Here is a 21368-nt window from a genome sequence, read left to right as displayed (position 1 = left end):
TTAGTATGCTTCTTTAATTTTTTTTCTCCCTGAAATTATAGGAACCAGATGTTAAAAAATTAGAAGACCAACTTCAAGGCGGTCAATTAGAAGAGGTGATTCTTCAGGTAAAGAAAAAGTTGACTATTTAGGTGTTTGGTTTCATAGAGACACACAACTGACGTTCTAGAATGAAAGGAAAACTAAATTTCCTTGTTTATATCAACTCGTCAAATATGTAAGACTAATCACATATAGAAAATGTGGTGCTTCTCATGTGTATGTTGATTATAGTATTTATTGTTGATTATAGCATGAATTTATGAGACTTCTGTTAGAAGCCTGGAGTTTGACACTCTTTTAATTTAATTAGCATGTTCTCCTTGGCCTAACCTTAGTTTAAATTGGTAGCACAATATTACTGTTGTTTTAATAGTTGTATCTTATTTTAAGAGTGTGGCATATTTTTAGTAGGGAAAAATACAGACATTTTGAATTATAAAATTAAAATGTACTTTTATTTTTATTTTTGGTTCTTGAGCATTTGAGCAAGTTAAAAAACAATTGCATAGTATATTTGAGAGCTTAATTCTACATTATTTCCCAAATACTAACCCTGACAAATAATATTGAGTAGTAAAATGTAAGCATGATTATGAAGAGACTGAGATTAGAAAAATTATTAACATTATTAATTACATTTAGAATATTTAAATCTTAAATTATTCTATTGGGAAATTTTCTTCTCCTCTCACTATACCTGCTGCTTATACAAGAGAACAAACACCGCAGTTTAGTTTTATTTAATCTGAATTTTAATTCTTTTCCTTTGGTCATAGTTAGGTTATAGAAATAGATAGGTTACTGATGTAAATAGGCTGGAAATATACTATTTTGAGTATTCCGTAGTTGGTTTTTTAAAGCATCTATGGGAAAATAATGATAACTCTTTTTTTTTTTTTTTTTTTTTTTTTAAGATTTGCATCTTTTTTCTCCAATTGCTAGTAAGGTTAAACTTTAAAAATATGTTCTTATATTTTATAAATTATGTCATTAATATTTTTACTGGGTCATTTAGTCTGGGTTATTTATACATGAGTGTCTTTTTATAATAAAAGATATTAACCTTAAACTTTTCTGACATTGTCTGCACATACTTTTTCTAGCCTGCTTTTGCCTCTCAAATGGGGTTTTTCCCCCATATGTAGAGGTTTTCAATTTTTTTTTTTTTTTTTTTTTTGAGATGGAGTTTTGCTCTTGTTGCCCAGGCTGGAGTGCAGTGGCATGATCTCGGCTCACCACAACCTCCGCCTCCCGGGTTCAAGCAATTCTCCTGCCTCAGCCTCCTAAGTAGCTAGGATTACAGGCATGTGCCACCACATCCAGCTAATTTTGTATTTTTAGTAGAGACAGGGTTTCTCCATTTTGGTCAGGCTGGTCTCGAACTCCTGACCTCAGGTGATCTGCCTGCCTCGGCCTCCCAAAGTGCTGGGATTACAGGCGTGAGCCACCCTGCCCAGCTCAAATTTTTTTTATTTGGTGAAATTTTGTTGTTCCACACCCCTACAACCCTCATATTATAGGTTTAGAATGTCTTCATCTTATAAGTGTCTGATAAATATTCAATTGTTTCATTTAATTTTATTTTGTTGCATCTTTTTTCAAATGTAACCCTTTCTAATGTTTTCTTACTGTTGATTGAAGGACAGATAAAAGGAAATATTGGATAATATTGGAGATTAGGGAGGTATATCACCAACAGACATGATATACCAAATCAAAAGAATTGTTAGATGGCTCTGGAAAAAGAGGAATATAGCATTCAGACAGCTTTCTATGAATGTAGACTGTTTCAGTTATTCAAAGGCCTGTTTACCTGGCCTTTATATTCGTCAGGTTGGCTGTGGTACTAGATACAGTGTTATGGGAACTTGCCGCAAACCTTATACTGTTGCCCTATACCTATTTCTCTTTTCTGTACCACCTGATTTCACTTTGATCATGACTTTATTTAGTTGATACATCAATTTTTCATGGAATTAAGTTTTAAGGCATATTAAGTATTTTTAAGTCAGCTGTGCAGTTCCCCATGTTTTCATGGTCAGTATTAAGGGTAAATTAATTTTAGTATTTTTTTAACTCAGTATATGTAGTATATTATTTAAATATAATCATAAAAATATTGAGATATTTTACATTCTTTTTTATATGAAGTCATCAAAATCTGGTATGTATTTTACACTTTGCAGCACATCTGAATTTGGACTAGCTGCATTTCAAGTCCCCAGTAGCCATGTATGGGTAGTGGCTAACATATTAGACAGTCCCATTTCTAGATGGATGGTATGATGGTGTGTCAGAAAGGAGGAAATAGGCATCAGGGGCCAGGTGCAGCTGGGTCCAGGTTCCTGAGATAGGGCTGATTCTCAAGGATGAATGAGGCCTAGGTGACCTCCTCATGCCCTATAATGGCTGGGGGAGATTGAGAAAGCATTGGATGTTCGTGAGACCCAGGGCAACCTTAGGAAATATTTTATCAGTATTTAAATTATTTTCTCCTTTTGGCATTAGTAATACCTCTACCCCTGATTTCCATTCATCTGCTCTTTAACTCATTGTTTTTTATAGTTGCTTGTAAACATAGATTGACTTTTGGGACCGCTGTCATAGATGGGGTATTATCTTTTAACTGTGTAATAATAATTACCTTGAATATAATCTGAGCGCTTATTCTGTGTTTGAATTTCTTTTCTAACATCCTGACAGGTGTTTAATAGTATTCATCTTATAAGTTGGCTAGAGTTGTCATAAATATTGTTTGTTGTAGAAAAAATATGAAATAAAAAGCTACCTAAAATGTGTGTGTTAAATATAAGTTGTGTTTGAAAGGAAAAATTAAATGAAACATAATTTGATTAAGGAATTTACTCAGTTAGTAAATATTAATTATACATGTATTGTGTTCTACATTCCATAGATCACTGTTTTATAAACTCTGGGTCTCAAGTGACTGTGGGTCATGGAATCAGTTAGTTGGATAGTGATTAGCTTAAAAAAACACAATAGAAAAAAGAATATATCACTGCCAGTAAAGATAATAATTTAAAAAGTTTTAGTTATATGTTTGTATTGTGGAACTCAAAATAAAACATATTTTCTTACTGTGGGCCATGGTAAAATAAAGTTTGAAAGCCACTGACATAGATGAAAAGACATACTTCTGATGCTCAAAAAACTTGTGAAATATTATTAAGATAAAAAACCTCACCAGCTAAACTTTTAAACACTATAGCCTATTTCAATCAAATAGAAGATAACAAAAGATATCCTTTCTTACTCCTGATTATGTAGATGTGAGAATTAAGGTAATTTAATTACTTAATATTCAACATTTGATGGTGGAATAGATTATGAGATATTAAATGAAAGTAGTAACTAATAGTTAAATTTCAGTTGTTCTGATAAATATCTGTTGAAGAGTAAAATCCAATGATCTTTTAAAAAATTTGTATTAACAGGCTGAACATGAACTAAATCTGGCAAGAAAAATGAGGGAATGGAAACTATGGGAGCCATTAGTGGAAGAGCCTCCTGCCGATCAGTGGAAATGGCCAATATAATTATTAAGTGACTTTGGTGTGTTCATGGGAAACTGATGTAATTAAATATTCTGTTATATTAAGAGCGTGTTCTTATTACTGACATTTTGTAATCAAGAAAAGTGATATAGAAAATATGTAGGAGACTGTTAAAATTGGTGATTATGGTAATATGGTCATGTGAATCAATTTTTGATTTATAAAGTACTCACACAAGTTGTTTCAAAGATGATATTTCTGTGAACAGAGAGGCCATGGGAAGATTTGAAAATTATTAAAGAAAAATTCCTACAGATTTTCAATGCAGAGACCATAATCAAAAAGTAAACTTTCTTTAGTAGTATGTTCAATACATCATTTAATTTTTTAAGTTATCCTGAAGAAGGAAAGGTCCTTAATTATTATAGTCTAAACAAATTTATAGATTACTGTTTGAAGTAAATAATACGAGTGAATATTTTCAAATGTGATAAAATAGCACAAGTGGCTGGTGATAAAATTTGAAATTATGGTTAACCTCAGCTGTGATCTTATGTATGTAAAGTGAAATTTAAATAGATAATTATAGGTTGATTACAAAATCCATAGTGTCATTTTATTTTAGTCATTATTGAATTATACCATTTACTCTGTTTTCTTATAGTCTTAATTTTATTATATTTTGTTGTTACTGTATTATATTTGAAAACCTTCAAATTAGAATACATTGTACAGTTAAAGAAATTGACTTGGTACTTAAAAGAAAGATTTCCCATTGCATACAGGTTATTGGAGAAATTTTCCTTTTGTTGCATTTGTGGAAGTTAGTTTTCTGGCCCGTGGCCTTTAATTTTCTTAATCAACCTAATTACATCAGGATAGAGGTAGAGTTTCTGTAAAAGAAGAGACATTAAGAGTTCCTGAAATTTATATCTGGCATACGGATAGGCTTATATTCAAAACATCTTAGTCATACGACCATAAATTAAAAGTGGAGTCACTAAATAGTTTGCAGTACGTTTCTAATATAAGTGTAGGTGGGTATCAAAACAAGACAAATGCTGTTCAGGGAAAGAAGTTGGCAAGCTTAAGGTTAAACAAAAATAAAATTACATGTGTTTTCGCCTTCCTAGCTCCCTGTCATTCCTAAATACTTGGTTAAATTTAACGTGGTATCTCTTTCCTTCATAGATAGTACTATACTCTTGTGGGGTTTTGTGTATACGTGTGTGTGTGTGTGTGTGTGTGTGTGTGTGTGTGTGTGTGTGTGCACGCGCATGCGCACATTTGCTCAGAATGAGAAAAAAATGGTATTTTTCCTTCTTTCCAGTATATTTCTCCCCTCATAGAGCTGTAACATGAATACTAAATAAATATTAAATAAGGTGGATTCTTAGAGGTTAGAGTGCAAGAAGGCTCCTTCTGGTGGGGAAGTGTTAGAGGGGGAGTTAGAAGCCCAGGGTTTCTCATTCTCATGGTTCTAGTGTTGTTAACTCAATGACTACATTGAGGCAAGTTTGGCCTGTTTCTCAGAATGGCCTATTTCTAATGCTGCAAAAGAAATAGAATATGATTTATAACAACATTTTCAGTTCTAAACATTTCTTGAATATATAATATATTTATTAAAACATGATGCTGAAGTGTGTTTGCATGGGTACTTTCAAGGTAATTTTCTAGCCAACCATTATTTTTCAGGTCCTTTGGACAACACAGAAACAAAGATGGCTTGCTGTGTTTTTGTCATATTTTCAGTCCCGTATCTGCCATGATTCTTGGGCATCTTTTATGTTTCACCAACAGTGTTACTGAACTTTTTTGCTAAAAGGGGACCTTACTGGTGTTTGCATTAGAAATGCTAGTTGCAGAATAATAGTCATTGTAAAAATAATATTATAACAATAATAGCTAATGTTTGTTGAGACTTTAATATGAATGTCAGGCACTATCATAAGTACCTGACTAATTTCACTCATTAAACCTGCACTACAACCCTAAGAGTGATACTACAAATTATCTTCATTTTCCAGATAAGAAACCAGAACCCTACGTGAGTAGTTTTCCCCTGCAATTATGCAACTTGGGGCCTTGGGGACACTGAAACCAAGAGATGATTTAATAACAAATCCAAGGTCACATAGCTAGTAAGATGTGAAGCTGAAGTTTGAACCCAGGCAGTCTGGTTCTAGAACTGATGCTCCTGTTATATTATTATTTATGAATATGCTTGGGATGTTGTGACTTCTTCCTGTGCTGTATGGGCTGTACCAAATGAAACTAGATCCTGCTCTCTTTACCTTTTCTGTCAAAATTATCTGTAAAGAACAAATATGAGCAGAAGTAGTAAACGATTTCATTTTCTGCAAAGAGCTGCATATAGGTTATAGGCAGATTATGTTAATGGGATAGGTATCTAAAAGGTATTGCAATTTGGTCATTGGTTCTTTCTCCTGTCTCAATTGCTCACAGAACTTTACACCTGATCGTTTTTACTCCTTCAGTCTTTTCCCAGTTGCTTCCTATAAACATCCAGGTTAAGTCTCCTGATCACTTTGCAAATGATTCTTTTATTCAGAGATCTTCAGTGTTTTGAGTGGCTACTAAACTAATTTTAATAATTTTCAGAATGGCCTATTTCAGTTCTCCCATGGGTTTCATTCTAGTTAATCATCATACTGCAGATACTTCAAAAGAAAGAGAAGCTAATCAATTTGAGCTTTGCTAAGAAAGAAGAAATGGCAACAAAGTTGATGCCCCCTTTCTCCCACACTGGGACTTAGTGCAGACGATTCCAATTTCTTGGCATTCTTTCCTTTGGGATGAAAATGGCTTATATTTAGGATAACTATAGGATAATTTATCATTCCACTTGGAATGATTTTGAGTGAAAATAATTACATAAGGATAACAGATGTACACCATGACTGTCCTGGGCAAACAAGATATAGGGGGGCACCCTACTGGAGTAAGGCTCAGGTCTCAAGGTTGCCATCTTTCCCACACCAGTAGGATCAACTAGTCTGTCATTGGAATAGAATGAATTGATGCCAGCAGTAGTAGTCATCATGTGCAATCAGGCCTCAAGTTTTATTGTATCCTTTCACTCTCCCTCATTCTCCCCTCCCCCTCCTTTTCCCTCAGAATTGGGGGATGGAAGAAAAGAGAGCTTATATTTTATTGTCAATTTTCTAATCACATTCAGAGGAGCGAAGCTAATTAAGCCAATAACAATGTTTATGAATGTATCTTTTTTAAAAGGGAGATGACAATATATAGGAAAATTCCCACATGTAGGCTAATAGCAGCTTTTTCTTTTTCCTCCCATCCTCTATGATTATGTAAACATACAGAAGTCTAACACCCTACACAAGTGTATTGTGGGGTATGGGATTAAGTACCAAATTGCTGAACATATCACTAGTATTTTGGATTTGCTGAGTGCAGTCTTCCCATTAAAACTAAGTGTTCAGTAGGGAGGCGTGGTGGCTCACACCTATAATCCCACTACTTTGGGAGGCCGAGGTGGGTGGATCACTTGAGGTCAAAAGTTCGAGGCCAGCCTGGCCAATATGGTGAAACCCCGTCTCTACTAAAAACAAAAACAAAAACTAAGTGTTCAGTGAGATTGTAGCCTATGCTACAACAATAGTAATGCCAATTGTTTTAGAGAAAAGTAAATGAGAGGCTACCAGTTGTGTTTAGAGGAGGTCGACGTTTTATTTTAGACAAAATTCACAGGAAATCACAGTGGGAATGTGATAAGGGGTTTGAATGATTGATGGGGACAGGAAGAATTCATTTGAGAGACTAGAGATGAGTCAGTATTCTAGATCGTGAAGTAAAATAGTGAGTCATGTAGTGACTTAGCATGGGTTATCCTTAAATCCCAGTGTCTTAAGTGTATTTTTTATTCATACTGCATGTCTAAGGAGGGTTGGCAAGGAGTGCTCATAGACCCACAAGGAATCCAGGCTGAGTGTGGCACCATCAACATATATTTCCATGACCATAGTGGTGGTGGGGAATTGGAACATGGTAAATTACACATAGGAATAAAAAAAAAGAAACAACCAAGGTTAAATTTTTTTTTGACTGTGCCACAAAATTTATGAATTGAACTTGCCATGCATCACTAATAATTTTCAAATTGGTCTTTAGGTTTACATTAGCAGCTAATTTTTTGTGGTACACTTAAATGTAATTTATGATTGGCATCTGTATATAATTAAATGAAAAGCATTGCAAAGATTTCTATTTTGGTATTTCTCATGATCTTCAATTTTTTTTTAGGTGAATCTATTAGGTTTTCTAAAGATAACTATTTTTTTTTTTTTACAAAATATTGGCATTTTAATCTCTCTATAACTGGAGGGTGAATTATTTTTCACCAGAGTAAAACAGGTCCAAAGTCCCTTATCTAAATTCCTAATTTCAAAAATCTCTGAAAACAAAGTTTTTTCATAACTCATTTGGCAACAAACCCCACCTGAATTACATGAGGCTATTTGTGGTATTTATCGCACTTCAATGTGAATATGAATATATTTTGCCACAGATGTATCAATATATTTGATTCTAAACTGCTTCCTCAGACCCTCTTAATGTGTTACATAATGTAAAGTATATGCCCATATTTCCTTTCAAAAATCTGAAAAATTGTGAATATCAAACACATCTGTCTTAAAAGGTTTCAGAAAAGGGACAATAGACCTATATTTCCATTCTCTTAACAAGTTCACAAAGTGGTATTATGATCCAAATTTAATCTAAATAATTTCCAAAACAAAAATTTTCAGGTCCTTAGTTTTCTAAATTATTTTAATATTAAAAATATTCATTATTCATTTTAACCTGTAGTAACAACAGGAGATACTTTGAAATGCTTGATTTTATCAAGCCACTAGGTGGCATCTTTGTAAAAATAAAAGCACATCAAAAGAAATGTTTATTACATAAATAAATGCTGAGATGAATAAAGGTAGATGTTTCATGAGAAATACGAAGTCGTTTGGTGGAATAAATCCTGAGAAAATGCATAGATTTATCATGAAAAGGAAAATGGAAAATGGTATTGTAAAATTACTCTTTCACTTTTGGAATTGAGAAGCTTTTTCCTATTGGTTGTTTTCATTAAGTTTGAATATAAATTTATTATGTAACCAAACTACATTTGTGTGTATGTGCGTGTATGTGTGCGTGGACAGGATTTTGACATGCTAATAACTTTTCCATGCTCCACAGACTACCCAAGGAAGCCTAACTAAGTTAGGTTCCTATTTAAGATTAAATTGTATAAAGTCATCCTCACAGCAAACTACAAAAAAAAATGAATAGTGGCTATCAAGTCACATTTAACACTGTGAGACACTTAAGTTCTCTCCTACCAGTTTTTCTTCCCCCATCTCCTGACTCTATTCCTAAACCTACTGTTTGCATACCGTCTCTAACATTGAGAACAGTGAATGACAAATTTTAAAGAGGAGACCCAGCAAAGTGAATGTTTAAAACCAGTGGAATGTTTATTAGTAGCAGAATGTAAGATAAATTATGATTTTGGAGATGGGAGTGTATGAGTGTTTGTAAAATCTTATCTGCACACCTCCACACCTGGTCTACCCATCCAAGAAAGCCTAATTCTAGTGGTTACCTCTATGCCCATTTTTCCCCTTTACTTTTCATGAATGTGTGGAAATGATTAAAATGAATTTACTTTTACTGATCATTATTAAAACAAAGCCAATTTTATCTGAATATATATTTCACTATTCTAGTAAAAATATATTTTAAAATGGGATGACTGAAAAAAATGGCATTGGATATTACAAAGTTATTGGGGAGATGAGAGTGCAATTTCAGCAGAACAGTATAAAGAAATAAATGAAGACAATGAACATTTATGAATAAGGGAATGGACCTGTATTAATTTTATTAATCCTTTTAACATATCAAATCAAATTAAACAGTACTGTAATGGTTAAAAAATCTGGGACCTGGAGTTAGATTGCTTAGGTTTAATCCTGGTTCCCTCATTAAACTTTGTGTGCCTTAGTTTTCTCATTTACAAAATGGGTCTAATAGCAGTTTCTCCCTAATAAAATCGTTGTAAGGATTAAATTAGAAATCTATGTACGGTGCCTCATGACAATGAATACTTCATAAATGTTAGCTGCTATTATGAGATAGCAACATGTAGTTTGTTACTAAATTTCCAAGAGGAACATACTTGACTTGACCTCCAATACTATCCTGTGGTTCTTTAAAAGTTTTCTTATTCATTGATAGGCCGGGCGCGGTGGCTCACTCCTGTAATCCCCAACACTTTTGAAGGCGGATTGCTTGAGGCTAGGAGTTCCAGATCAGCCTGGCCAACATGGTGAAACCCCATCTCTACTAAAAATACCAAAATTAGCCGGGGGTGGTGGCGGGCGCCTGTAATCTCAGCTACTCAGGAGGCTGAGGCAGGAGAATCGCGGGAGCCAGGGAGGTAGAGGTTGCATTGAGCCGAGATCGAACCACTGCACTTCAACCTGGGCGACAGAGCAAGACTCTGTATACACTAGAAAAAAAAAAAAAAAAAAGAATTTGTTGTTAGACAAAATTTAGTTTATTAACTAATTTAGTGATTAACAAAAGTTCTTCTAAGCAGAATTATTTGATAGCTACTATCTCCCTTTTCTCTTTGGCTGCCAGGAAGCTGAGAGCCAAGTTGTTAGTTTAACAAAAGCAAGTAGGCACCTGACAGTTTCTCGCCTCTGACTTCATCGTGATGATTTCTCTGACTCGGATTTTTTTTATATCTGTAAAATTAAACTGCTGTCAGTGTTTGGTTTAGAGAGCTGTGCCGTTTCACAAGTGTAAAAGATCTTGGAGAGAAGTTAGTGTCCTGATTCACTTGGATCTAGGTAGCCAGTTGGTAACAGCCTCCGCCTCTGGCTCCTCCCCTTCTCCCTGCCGCGTCCCTCCTCCCCGCCCCTTCGCCTCTGGCCCCGCCCCTTCTCCCTGCCGCTTCCCTCCTCCACGCCCGCTCGCCTCTGACTCCTCCCCTTCTCCCTGACGCGTCCCTCTTCCTGTCTCTTCGCCTCTGGCTCCTCCCCTTTCTCCTGCCATGTTTCTTCTCCCCGCCCCCTCGCCTCTGGCTCCTCCCCCTTTTCCCTATCGCGTTCCTCCTTTGCAGCCCCCATCCCCCTCCTCTGGCTCCTCTTCTTCCCTACCGCGATCCTCCTTCCAGACCCCGGCCCCCAGCCCGCCTCTAGCTCCTTCCCTTATTTCCTGCCGCGCTCCTCCTTCCCGACACCGCCCCTCCGCCTCTGGCTACTCCTCTTCTCTCCTGCCGCACTCCTCCTTCCCGGCCCCACCTCCCCGCCTCTGGCTCATCCCCTTCTCTTCTGCCGCCCTCCTCCTTCCCGGCCCCGCCCCCAGTCTTTGGCTCCTCCCCCTACCCTGCCGCGCTCCTCCTTCCCGGCCCCTCCCCGCTGCCCTCTTCTGGCTCCTCCCCCCCACCCGCCTCTGGCTCCTCTCCTTCCCACCCCTGCCGTGCTCCGGCAGGAAGAGGTGGTGCCAGGGCCGTTGCTAGGATACGACCAACAGCTGAGAACGCGGCGAGTATGGAAGCTGCGTCTTAGGAGCCTGGGAAAGCACTTCGACGAGAATAGTTTGGTTTCGTACACAGGTAGGAGAACAGATTTTGACTGCGGCCTCCTGGTCCGACGCTTAGATCCAGCCTAGAGCCGGTGACAGCCGCGCTGGACTCTGGGTTCTGTGTGCTGGGCAGTGATTCCCACCTGAGCGCCTGGGGCTGCCTAGTCGGTCAGGAATGTTCCGACTTTACTTTAAAAACCGTGCGAAGCATCTCATCTTTCTCGGCTCCTTTTTTGGCTTCCCCTCTCTGATTTGGGACTTGAACCAGCAGCATCAAGCTAGGAGGTACACCTCACCTCACACCCTGGGTGCTTGTCACGGTAATTGCATAGAAGATGTGTGTATAACCCACACCTGGCACTAGAGACTCTTAGCCTTCCGTGGCCACCATTCTCATATTAAGTCGAGAGATTTTAGACTTTCCTCACCTGGCACTCTCACTCCTTCCTCTCCACCCTTGGTCTTTGCCTCTTAACAAACCTAAAAATTCAACAGATCTATTTGGTAGAAGGCAATACTGGATCCCTGCCTCACTAATTATACTACATTCTAAATGTGTTAAGCTTTAAATGGTAGGGAATGAAATGTAGGTGAAAAGGGAGACTTTTTTGTATGCAAACATGATAGAGGTTGCTTTTTAAACAATAAGATTTAAACATTTTCATTTGAATAGATAATACATAAAAAAATAGTTCGAATAGTAAAAAGAATGAAGAGTGAAAATCCTCCATCTACCCATTTCTCCCCATCTCCAGGCCACCTTCCACAGGTGTTTTAGACATACGCAAATATGTAGTTACACCTGTAACATTGTGCATACTCTTCTGTGATTGGCTTTTACACTTAAGACTGTGTGTCCAGTTGTTTTCTATCAATATTTACAGATCTGTCTCATTTATGCATTTATGGATGAATTTATGTATTTATGTTTCATTGTGAGAAGGTGTTTCGAAGCATGTCAGGAAATTTGGAAACTCTCATAAGCAAAAAGATTGATAAATGTCACTACCTAACAATCTAAAACTTTTATATAGTAAGAGAAAAACAACATCAAACATACAATGGGAAATATAAGGGCAACACACAACAAAGGGATATTTAATTATTAGGACTCATAAAACAATATGAGGATGTAAGGAAACAGTCAAGGGGAACTTCTTGGGGCTATAATAGAAAACAGTTTGATGGAATTTAACAAAATTAAGATCTGTATGCCCTTTGACTTGTCCATTCTAATTCTGGGAACTCATTTTCAGTATACTTACACATATATACAGAGATAGATGTATAAAATGTTTGTTGCAGCACTATTTTTAATAGTAAAAAACTAGAGGGGTCTGCATGGCGGGGCCTCGGAGCCAAGACGAGGTTGAGTAGACTCGTTTTGAATTTTCTCCCCTCTGCTCCGGCGGACTTCCCATGTCGCCTTGTGGGGCTATCGGCGGCGGCAGGACTGGGGGAGTCAGAGGTCTGGCAGCGCTGTCTGCGCAGACCTACCGGACGCTACCTCCCAACCCCCCTTTCTTCCTCCTGCCTCCTCCTCCTCCCGTCACCTCCTGACCCGCCGGAGCTCCGAGCAACTGCCGGCCTCCGCCCCCAGCCGCAGCCGGTCACTGGCGGCGCCTTCCGCGCCAAGCTTGGGGGCCTTTTCGGGGTCCTACATGGCACGGCTTCCGACCCCCGGCCCGGGACGGGGCTCGCAGGCCCCAGAGGGGCAGGCTGGAGAAGGAGGAGGTTAGGTGTCTTCAGGAGGGTTGCTGAGCCCAAGGACGCGCCATCGCCGCGGAGAAGGAGCCGGACCCCTTGGGCGGAGCGCCCAATGTGTGGTCCCTCACGCCGTCCCGCACCTTGCTTTTTAGGGTTCTTTTTCCGCTTTCTGAGCCCTTTTATACCTTACGTTTAGAAGGGGAAAATCATCCTCCCACACCTTCTCCCCGACTTTTTGCCTTTTTTGTCTTGAAGTTACCCAAAGGTCTGTGTATTGTTCTCAGTGGTCCCAAGAATTACTCGAATATAGTTGTTTTTCTGAGGGAGGATGGATGGAGATAACTATCCTGATCCCAGTGTCACTTTTTAAGGCATTCGCTTCAAGAGACAAGCAGTTTAGAATCAGGCAGAACTGGATTGCAAAATTTATGGGCAGACCGGTATGTGTGAAGGTGAAGACAAAGCTTTCCTTTTTTACGTTGTTTAAAGATGTCCTACTGTAAGGTAGACGCCTAATATTTAAATGAACGCCTAATATTTAAATAGAGAATGAGAAGAGATTTAAACAATTGGAAGAAAAAAATAATTTTTATTAGAAAGCAATGACAATAAAAGTAGGACTCTTTTCAGTTTACTCACCTTTGTAACTCCGAATCCGGGCCCTGGAACCAGAATTCCTGGGTTCAAATCCTGCCTCTGCTACTTGATTAACCTTTTTGTGCCACACTTTTATCAACTGTAAGAATTAACTGCGCCATCGGAAGCACTCAGTATATGTTAATTATTATCATCAAATAGTTACTAATTCCAGTTTAACTAGAAGCTTTGCCAGCGTGAATAGATAAGGGAGAATAGCCACATTGAGTGGAGGAATAAAATTAGAAAACCTCTGTGCTGAAGTCCCAGGAGATCACTTATTAGGCTTGAGCTTGCTAATGGAAGTGGTGATCGTTTAACCATGTGGTTATTGTAGTGGTGAAGATTTACACATTAAATAAGTCTTGGGCATCTGAAGCTTGAAACACTTTCTTAATGAAATCTTGCCGTTGAATCTGTACTTACTGATAATATGTCATTGGTTAAAATATATTTATAAAATGTATAATTGACCAGCAGGTTAATACATTTTTATCATTAATTTGAAATTTATCAAAATGAGAATATACAGTACCTGACGGTCAGTGGAGTTTGATCTTAATTTGATTTGAAAATTATGATCAGGAAAATAAATAACCTGAATATATGCTTAATAATATAAGACTTTGAGTTTGCAAAACAGAAATCCTGACTTGACTAAAATACACTTTTCATTTGACGGAGACCTTTAGTTAAGGAAAGATTAGTTTTAGCATTCAACATAACTAAATACCCAGCATTATGTTTTACGGTTTTTTTCAACAATGATTTATGTGTCGTGTTTGGTGTTGCCTCCAAGCAGTACCTAGGATAGCTGATGCTTTTACTTTGAGTCTTTTTCTTTAGTTGGAACATTAATTGCAAGCTTTTGGTTGGTAATCATTTTTTATGGGATGTATTTACTATATGGTCCTCACGGAGACACATTGTTATCTGGAGAACCACAGTTTGGAAAATACATTTCTCTTTATTATAAAGTTTTTTGTTTTATATATATAATGCCACAGTGTGATAGGATACAAAGACTATGCATTAGGGCTTTGGAGTCTTAATTGTTCTTTGTGTTTTTCTTTTTTTCCAATTTGATTATGGATCCGAACCTAATGCACTCTGTGATCTTAAGCAAGTTTCTTGACAGTTCCAGTTTTCCTATCTACAGAGACAAGAAGATCTACCTCAGAGTCATTGTAAGGATTAAATAAATTTGTAAAGCTCTCAAAGAGCAGCCTAATCCCAGCATTTTGGGTGGCCGAGGCGGGCGGAGCACCTGAGGTCAGGAGTTTGAGACCAGCCTGGCCAACATGGTGAAACCCCGTCTCTGCTAAAAATACAAAAATTGGCCAGGCATGGTGGGGGGTGCCTATAATCTGAGCTACTGGGGAGGCTGAGGCAGGAGAATTGCTTGAATCTGGGAGGTGGAGTTTGCAGTAAGCCAAGATCGCGCCACTTCACTCCAGCCTGGGCAAAAAGAGTGAAACTCCATCTCAAAAAAAAAAAAAAAAAAAAATCAAAGAGCAAAAAGGTAAAAAGTTTGTGCAGAGTAAAAAATGGGTAGAAATGGATTACAGGGAAGCTTATAGTGAGAACAAACCATAAATAAAATTGACATTGTGAACACCAGCCTTAGATTTTTTTTCCCTGAAAATTAAAAAGTGCTTTTTTAAATTTTTTTATTTTTTGAGTTGGAGGGTTTTTTGGTGTTGTTGTTGTTGTTTGTTGTTGTTTTGTTTTTGGTTTTTTGTTTTTTTTCAGAGTCTCCCTCTGTCGCCAGGCTGGAGTGCAGTGGCGCTATCTCAGCTCACTGCAACCTCCGCCTTCCAGGTTGAAGCGATTCTCCTGCCTCAGCTTCCCGAGTAGCTGGGACTACAGGTGCCTGCCACCATGCCCGGCTAATTTTTTGTATTTTAGTAGAGACGGGGTTTCACCATGTTGGCCGGGATGGTCTCGATCAGGCGTGAGCCACTGTACCGGTTGAGATGGAGTCTTGCTCTGTTGCCCAGGCTGGAATGCAGTGGCATGATCTCATCTCATTGCAACCTCTGCCTTCCAGGTTCAAGTGATCCGTGTTTCAGCCTCCCCAATAGCTGCGATTGCAGGCTCCTGCCACCACTCCCAGCTGATTTTTGTATTTTGTTTTGTTTTCTTTTTGAGATGGAGTCTGGCTCTGTCGCCAGGCTGGAGTGCAGTGGTGCAATCTTGGCTCACTGCAACCTCCAACTCCCTGGTTCAAGCAATTCTCCTGCCTCAGCCTCCCGAGTAGCTGGGATTACAGGCACATGCCACCACGCCCAGCTAATTTTTGTATTTTTGGTAGACACAGGGTTTTATCATGTTGGCCAGGATGGTCTTGATCTCCTGACCTTGTGATCCGTCTGCTCAGCCTCCCAAAGTGCTGGGATTACAGGCATGAGCCACCGCACCTAGCCTGTTTTTTTTTTTTTTTTTTTTTTTTTTTAAGTAGAGACAGGGTTTCACTATGTTGGCCAGGCTGGCCTCCCAACTCCTGACCTCAAGATCCGCCCACTTTAGACTCCCAAAGCGCTGGGATTACAGGCATGAGCCACTGCATCCAGCAGAAAATTTAAAAATTAATATAGATTATTGTTTATATATAATTGCATGCATTTAAAAGTTCGATCTTTAACATAACTTTAAAAACTGATTCTTAAAAAATAAATTATCCTATTAAAACAAAAAAAAAACACTAGAGACAGCTTAAATGTCCATCAATGAACAACAGTTGACTACCATGTGGCTTAGCCTTGCAAAGAAGTTACTGTGAAGTTGTTGAAAAGAATGCGGCAGAATCGTATTTTACATAAAAATAAATGTTAAGCACGTATTATAAAAAGTCATAAAATAGTATTAAAGTTTAAAAATAAACAGAAATATAGTTTATGAAAGACATTGATATGATCATAAACAAATTTAAATGTATATATATTATATAATTGTAGCTTTATAGACAATTCCTGGAAAGATAAACTGCCTAACAATGAGAAATAAAATTAGCATGTCTGAAATACTTTTACTTCTTATTTTATCCCCTTCTATTCTGTTAGTTTTTTTTCTAGTAAGCACATATTACTCTCTTAAAAACAACAACAAAATGAATGATAACAATAATGAAAAAATGATTTTGAAAAGTCTTTTCCAACTGTAGCTTTCCAAACTGGGTTGGAAGATCACATTTTACATTTCACACTTTTAATATGTGTACTTTGTTATTTACATTTAATATTTGCTGCAGTGAGAGTTTACACATATGTATGCAAGTAGAGCATATTAATATGTACATATGAGGGGGTATTAGGAACCAATAAAATTAGCTCCTTGTTCTAGATGGGTGAAAAAAAATCTGCTGAATATTTTTTACTCTATTTTAAATCATAGTCATGTTTGTCACTTAAGAATAAAAGACATTCTCTGATAATATATCTGATGGCAAAATTGTTAGTTAAATTCTGGATCTGACTACCACTAACCTACCATGAGGCATTCCTGGGTCTTAGCTTTTTCATCTGCAGGGAGATCAGTTTCTAGACTTTTTCTTCATCACCAGGACCCCTTTTCTGTTCTCCTCCCAATCCCCCATGGACTCCTACACTGAGATACAGCACAGTTAAGTGGTTAAGGGCATGGGTTCTGGATCCAGACTGCCTGGATTTGGATCCCAGATATACTGCCTACTAGCTCTGGGTTCTTGAAAATATTGCTTAACCTCTCTGTGCTAATTTCTTTATCTGTAAAATGGGCATAATGATATCATCTGTGAGAATTAAATAATTTGGTATAAGTATTTGCTAATATTATGCTTTATTTTAAAAGTATTTTTTTCGGGGAGGAGTCAAGATGTCCAAATAGGAATAGCTCTGGTCAACAGCTCCCAGCGTGAGCGACGCAGAAGACGGGTGATTTCTGCATTTCCATCTGAGGTACAGGGTTCATCTCACTAGGGAGTGCCAGACAGTGGGCGCAGGTCAGTGGGTGCGTGCACCGTGCGCGAGCCGAAGCAGGGCGAGGCATTGCCTCACTTGGGAAGCGCAAGGGGTCAGGGAGTTCCCTTTCCTAGTCAAAGAAAGTGGTGACAGACGGCACCTGGAAAATCGGGTCACTCCCACCCGAATACTGCGCTTTTCCGACAGGCTTAAAAAACGGCGGACCAGGAGATTATATCCCCCACCCGGCTCGGAGGGTCCTACGCCCACGGAGTCTCGCTAATTGCTAGCACAGCAGTCTGAGATCAAACTGCAAGGCGGCAGCGAGGCTGGGGGAGGGGCGCCCGCCATTGCTCAGGCTTGCTTAGGTAAACAAAGCAGCTGGGAAGCTCCAACTGGGTGGAGCCCACCACAGCTCAAGGAGGCCTGCCTGCCTCTGTAGGCTCCACCTCTGGGGGCAGGGCACAGACAAACAAAAAGACAGCAGTAAACTCTGCAGACTTAAATGTCCCTGTCTGACAGCTTTGAAGAGAGCAGTGGTTCTCCCAGCACGCAGCTGGAGATCTGAGAACGGGCAGACTGCCTCCTCAAGTGGGTCCCTGGCCCCTGACCCCCGAGCAGCCTAACTGGGAGGCACCCCCCAGCAGGGGCAGACTGACACCTCACACGGCCGGGTGCTCCAACAGACCTGCAGCCGAGGGTCCTGTCTGTTTGAAGGAAAACTAACAAACAGAAAGGACATCCACACCAAAAACCCATCTGTACATCACCATCATCAAAGACCAAAAGTAGATAAAACCACAAAGATGGGGAAAAAACAGAGCAGAAAAACTGGAAACTCTAAAAAGCAGAGTGCCTCTCCTCCTCCAGAGGAACGCAGTTCCTCACCAGCAACAGAACAAAGCTGGATGGAGAATGACTTTGACGAGCTGAGAGAAGAAGGCTTCAGACGATCAAATTACTCCGAGCTACAGGAGGAAATTCAAACCAAAGGCAAAGAAGTTGAAAACTTTGAAAAAAATTTGGAAGAATGTATAACTACAATAACCAATAAAGAAAAGTGCTTAAAGGAGCTGATGGAGCTGAAAACCAAGGCTCGAGAACTACGTGAAGAATGCAGAAGCCTCAGGAGCCGATGTGATCAACTGGAAGGAAGGGTATCAGCGATGGAAGATGAAATGAATGAAATGAAGGCTACAAGCCAGAAGAAAGTGGAGGCCAATATTCAACATTCTTAAAGAAAAGAATTTTCAACCCAGAATTTCATATCCAGCCAAACTAAGCTTCATAAGTGAAGGAGAAATAAAATACTTTACAGACAAGCAAATGCTGAGAGATTTTGTCACCACCAGGCCTGCCCTAAAAGAGCGCCTGAAGAAGCGCTAAACGTGGAAAGGAACAACTGGTACCAGCCGCTGCAAAATCACGCCAAAATGTAAAGACCATCGAGACTAGGAAGAAACTGCATCAACTAATGAGCAAAATAACCAGCTAACATCATAATGACAGGATCAAATTCACACATAACAATATTAACTTTAAATGTAAATGGACTAAATGCTCCAATTAAAAGACACAGACTGGCAAATTGGATAAAGAGTCAAGACCCATCAGTGTGCTGTATTCAGGAAACCCATCTCACGTGCAGAGACACACATAGGCTCAAAATAAAAGGATGGAGGAAGATCTACCAAGCAAATGGAAAACAAAAAAAGGCAGGGGTTGCAATCCTAGTCTCTGATAAAACAGACCTTAAACCAACAAAGATCAAAAGATACAAAGAAGGCCATTACTTAATGGTAAAGGGATCAATTCAACAAGAAGAGCTAACCTAAATATATATGCACCCAATACAGGAGCACCCAGATTCATAAAGCAAGTCCTGAGTGACCTACAAAGAGACTTAGACTCCCACACATTAATAATGGGAGACTTTAACACTCCACTGTCAACATTAGACAGATCAACGAGACAGAAAGTCAACAAAGATACCCAGGAATTGAACTCAGCTCTGCACCAAGTGGACTTAATAGACATCTACAGAACTCTACACCCCAAATCAACAGAATATACATTTTTTTCAGCACCACACCACACCTATTCCAAAATTGACCACATACTTGGAAGTAAAGCTCTCCTCAGCAAATGTAAAAGAACAGAAATTATAACAAACTATCTCTCAGACCACAGTGCAATCAAACTAGAACTCAGGATTAAGAATCTCACTCAAAACCGCTTAACTACATGGAAACTGAACAACATGCTCCTGAATGACTACTGGGTACATAACAAAATGAAGGCAGAAATAAAGATGTTCTTTGAAACCAACGAGAACAAAGACACAACATACCAGCATCTCTGGGATGCATTCAAAGCAGTGTGTAGAGGGAAATTTATAGCACTAAATGCCCACAAGAGAAAGCAGGAAAGATCCAAAATTGACATCCTAACATCACAATTAAAAGAACTAGAAAAGCAAGAGCAAACACTTTCAAAAGCTAGCAGAAGGCAAGAAATAACTAAAATCAGAGCAGAAATGAAGGAAACAGAGACACAAAAAACCCTTCAAAAAATTAATGAATCCAGGAGCTGGTTTTTTGAAAGGATGAACAAAATTGATAGACCGCTAGCAAGACGAATAAAGAAAAAAAGAGAGAAGAATCAAATAGACGCAATAAAAAATGATAAAGGGGATATCACCACCTATCCCACAGAAATACAAACTACCATCAGAGAATACTACAAACACCTCTACGCAAATAAACTAGAAAATCTAGAAGAAATGGATAAATTCCTGGACACATACACTCTCCCAAGACTAAACCAGGAAGAAGTTGAACCTCTGAATAGACCAATAACAGGAGCTGAAATTGTGGCAATAATCAATAGCTTACCAACCAAAAAGAGTCCAGGACCAGATGGATTCACAGCCGAATTCTACCAGAGGTACAAGGAGGAAATGGTACCATTCCTTCTGAAACTATTCCGATCAATAGAAAAAGAGGGAATCCTCCCTAACTCATTTTATGAGGCCAGCATCATCCTGATACCAAAGCTGGGCAGAGACACAACCAAAAAAGAGAATTTTAGACCAATATCCTTGATGAACATTGATGCAAAAATCTTCAATAAAATACTGGCAAACCGAATCCAGCAGCACATGAAAAAGCTTATCCAACATGATCAAGTGGGCTTCATCCCTGGGATACAAGCCTGGTTCAATATACGCAAATCAATAAATGTAATCCAGCATATAAACAGAACCAAAGACAAAAACCACATGATTATCTCAATAGATGCAGAAAAGGCCTTTGACAAAATTCAACAACACTTCATGCTAAAAACTCTCAATAAATTAGGTATTGATGGGACGTATCTGAAAATAATAAGAGCTATCTATGACAAACCCACAGCCAATATCATACTGAATGGGCCAAAACTGGAAGCATTCCCTTTGAAAACTGGCACAAGACAGGGATGCCCTCTCTCACCACTCCTATTCAACATAGTGTTGGAAGTTCTGGCCAGGGCAATTAGGCAGGAGAAGGAAATAAAGGCTATTCAATTAGGAAAAGAGGAAGTCAAATTGTCCCTGTTTGCAGACGACATGATTGTATATCTAGAAAACCCCATTGTCTCAGCCCAAACTCTCCTTAAGCTGATAAGCAATTTCAGCAAAGTCTCAGGATACAAAATCAATGTACAAAAATCACAAGCATTCTTATACACCAACAACAGACAGAGAGCCAAATCATGAGTGAACTCCCATTCACAATTGCTTCAAAGAGAATAAAATACCTAGGAATCCAACTTACAAGGGATATGAAGGACCTCTTCAAGGAAAACTACAAACCACTGCTCAAGGAAATAAAAGAGGATACAAACAAATGGA

General features: G+C 38.6%; 2 protein-coding genes and 1 long non-coding RNA gene across 24 annotated transcripts in view, besides 5 other annotated features; 2 read left to right on the top strand and 1 right to left on the bottom strand.

Moving 5' to 3' along the window:
- Positions 1 to 8721, top strand: part of NDUFA5 (NADH:ubiquinone oxidoreductase subunit A5) — a 64655-nt gene extending 55934 nt beyond the window's left edge. For all 11 annotated transcript variants that reach the window (NR_111926.1, NR_111925.2, NR_104169.3 and 8 more), the window contains 2 exons: positions 42 to 107; positions 3498 to 8721. Coding sequence is in view for 7 of the 11 variants with exons in the window: in NM_001291304.2 (NP_001278233.1) it covers positions 42 to 107; positions 3498 to 3599 (168 nt within the window). In the remaining 4 variants the exon portion in view is untranslated. The remainder of the gene's footprint in view (positions 1 to 41; positions 108 to 3497) is intronic.
- Positions 8722 to 9458: 737 nt separating this feature from the next.
- LOC124901740 (uncharacterized) lies at positions 9459 to 11187 on the bottom strand. The gene is made up of 2 exons (XR_007060507.1): positions 10293 to 11187; positions 9459 to 10113 (listed from the first exon to the last, which is right to left on the bottom strand). It is a non-coding gene; the product is annotated as an uncharacterized LOC124901740 (long non-coding RNA).
- Positions 10237 to 10376: an enhancer, noted in NCBI's record as "active region_26567". NCBI's record gives its function as "activates an Ori minimal core promoter by ATAC-STARR-seq in GM12878 lymphoblastoid cells {active_cell/tissue: GM12878}" and the evidence as "EXISTENCE:reporter gene assay evidence [ECO:0000049][PMID:35858748]".
- Positions 10447 to 10576: a silencer, noted in NCBI's record as "silent region_18586". NCBI's record gives its function as "represses an Ori minimal core promoter by ATAC-STARR-seq in GM12878 lymphoblastoid cells {active_cell/tissue: GM12878}" and the evidence as "EXISTENCE:reporter gene assay evidence [ECO:0000049][PMID:35858748]".
- Positions 10657 to 10806: a silencer, noted in NCBI's record as "silent region_18585". NCBI's record gives its function as "represses an Ori minimal core promoter by ATAC-STARR-seq in GM12878 lymphoblastoid cells {active_cell/tissue: GM12878}" and the evidence as "EXISTENCE:reporter gene assay evidence [ECO:0000049][PMID:35858748]".
- Positions 10827 to 11056: a silencer, noted in NCBI's record as "silent region_18584". NCBI's record gives its function as "represses an Ori minimal core promoter by ATAC-STARR-seq in GM12878 lymphoblastoid cells {active_cell/tissue: GM12878}" and the evidence as "EXISTENCE:reporter gene assay evidence [ECO:0000049][PMID:35858748]".
- Positions 11123 to 21368, top strand: part of IQUB (IQ motif and ubiquitin domain containing) — an 82403-nt gene continuing 72157 nt past the window's right edge. For 4 of the 12 annotated variants that reach the window (NR_104245.2, XM_017011772.3, NM_178827.5 and 1 more), the window contains exon 1: positions 11123 to 11226. The gene's annotated coding sequence lies outside the window, so the exon portion shown is untranslated. Of the gene's footprint in view, positions 11227 to 12524; positions 13355 to 17366; positions 17474 to 21368 lie in introns of those variants that run through there. The other 8 variants (XM_011515833.3, XM_017011771.2, XM_047419924.1 and 5 more) reach the window with 8 other exon arrangements.
- Positions 17738 to 18364: an enhancer, noted in NCBI's record as "NANOG-H3K27ac-H3K4me1 hESC enhancer chr7:123167408-123168034 (GRCh37/hg19 assembly coordinates)". NCBI's record gives its function as "activates a minimal SCP1, AML or CMV promoter by ChIP-STARR-seq in naive H9 embryonic stem cells {active_cell/tissue: H9 hESC(naive)}" and the evidence as "EXISTENCE:reporter gene assay evidence [ECO:0000049][PMID:30033119]".

Source organism: Homo sapiens, chromosome 7, assembly GCF_000001405.40.
Source record: "Homo sapiens chromosome 7, GRCh38.p14 Primary Assembly".
Classification (NCBI taxonomy): Eukaryota; Metazoa; Chordata; class Mammalia; order Primates; family Hominidae; genus Homo; species Homo sapiens.
The sequence above is the reverse complement of the archived record's forward strand: the minus strand, read 5'-3'. Positions and strand labels throughout refer to the sequence as shown.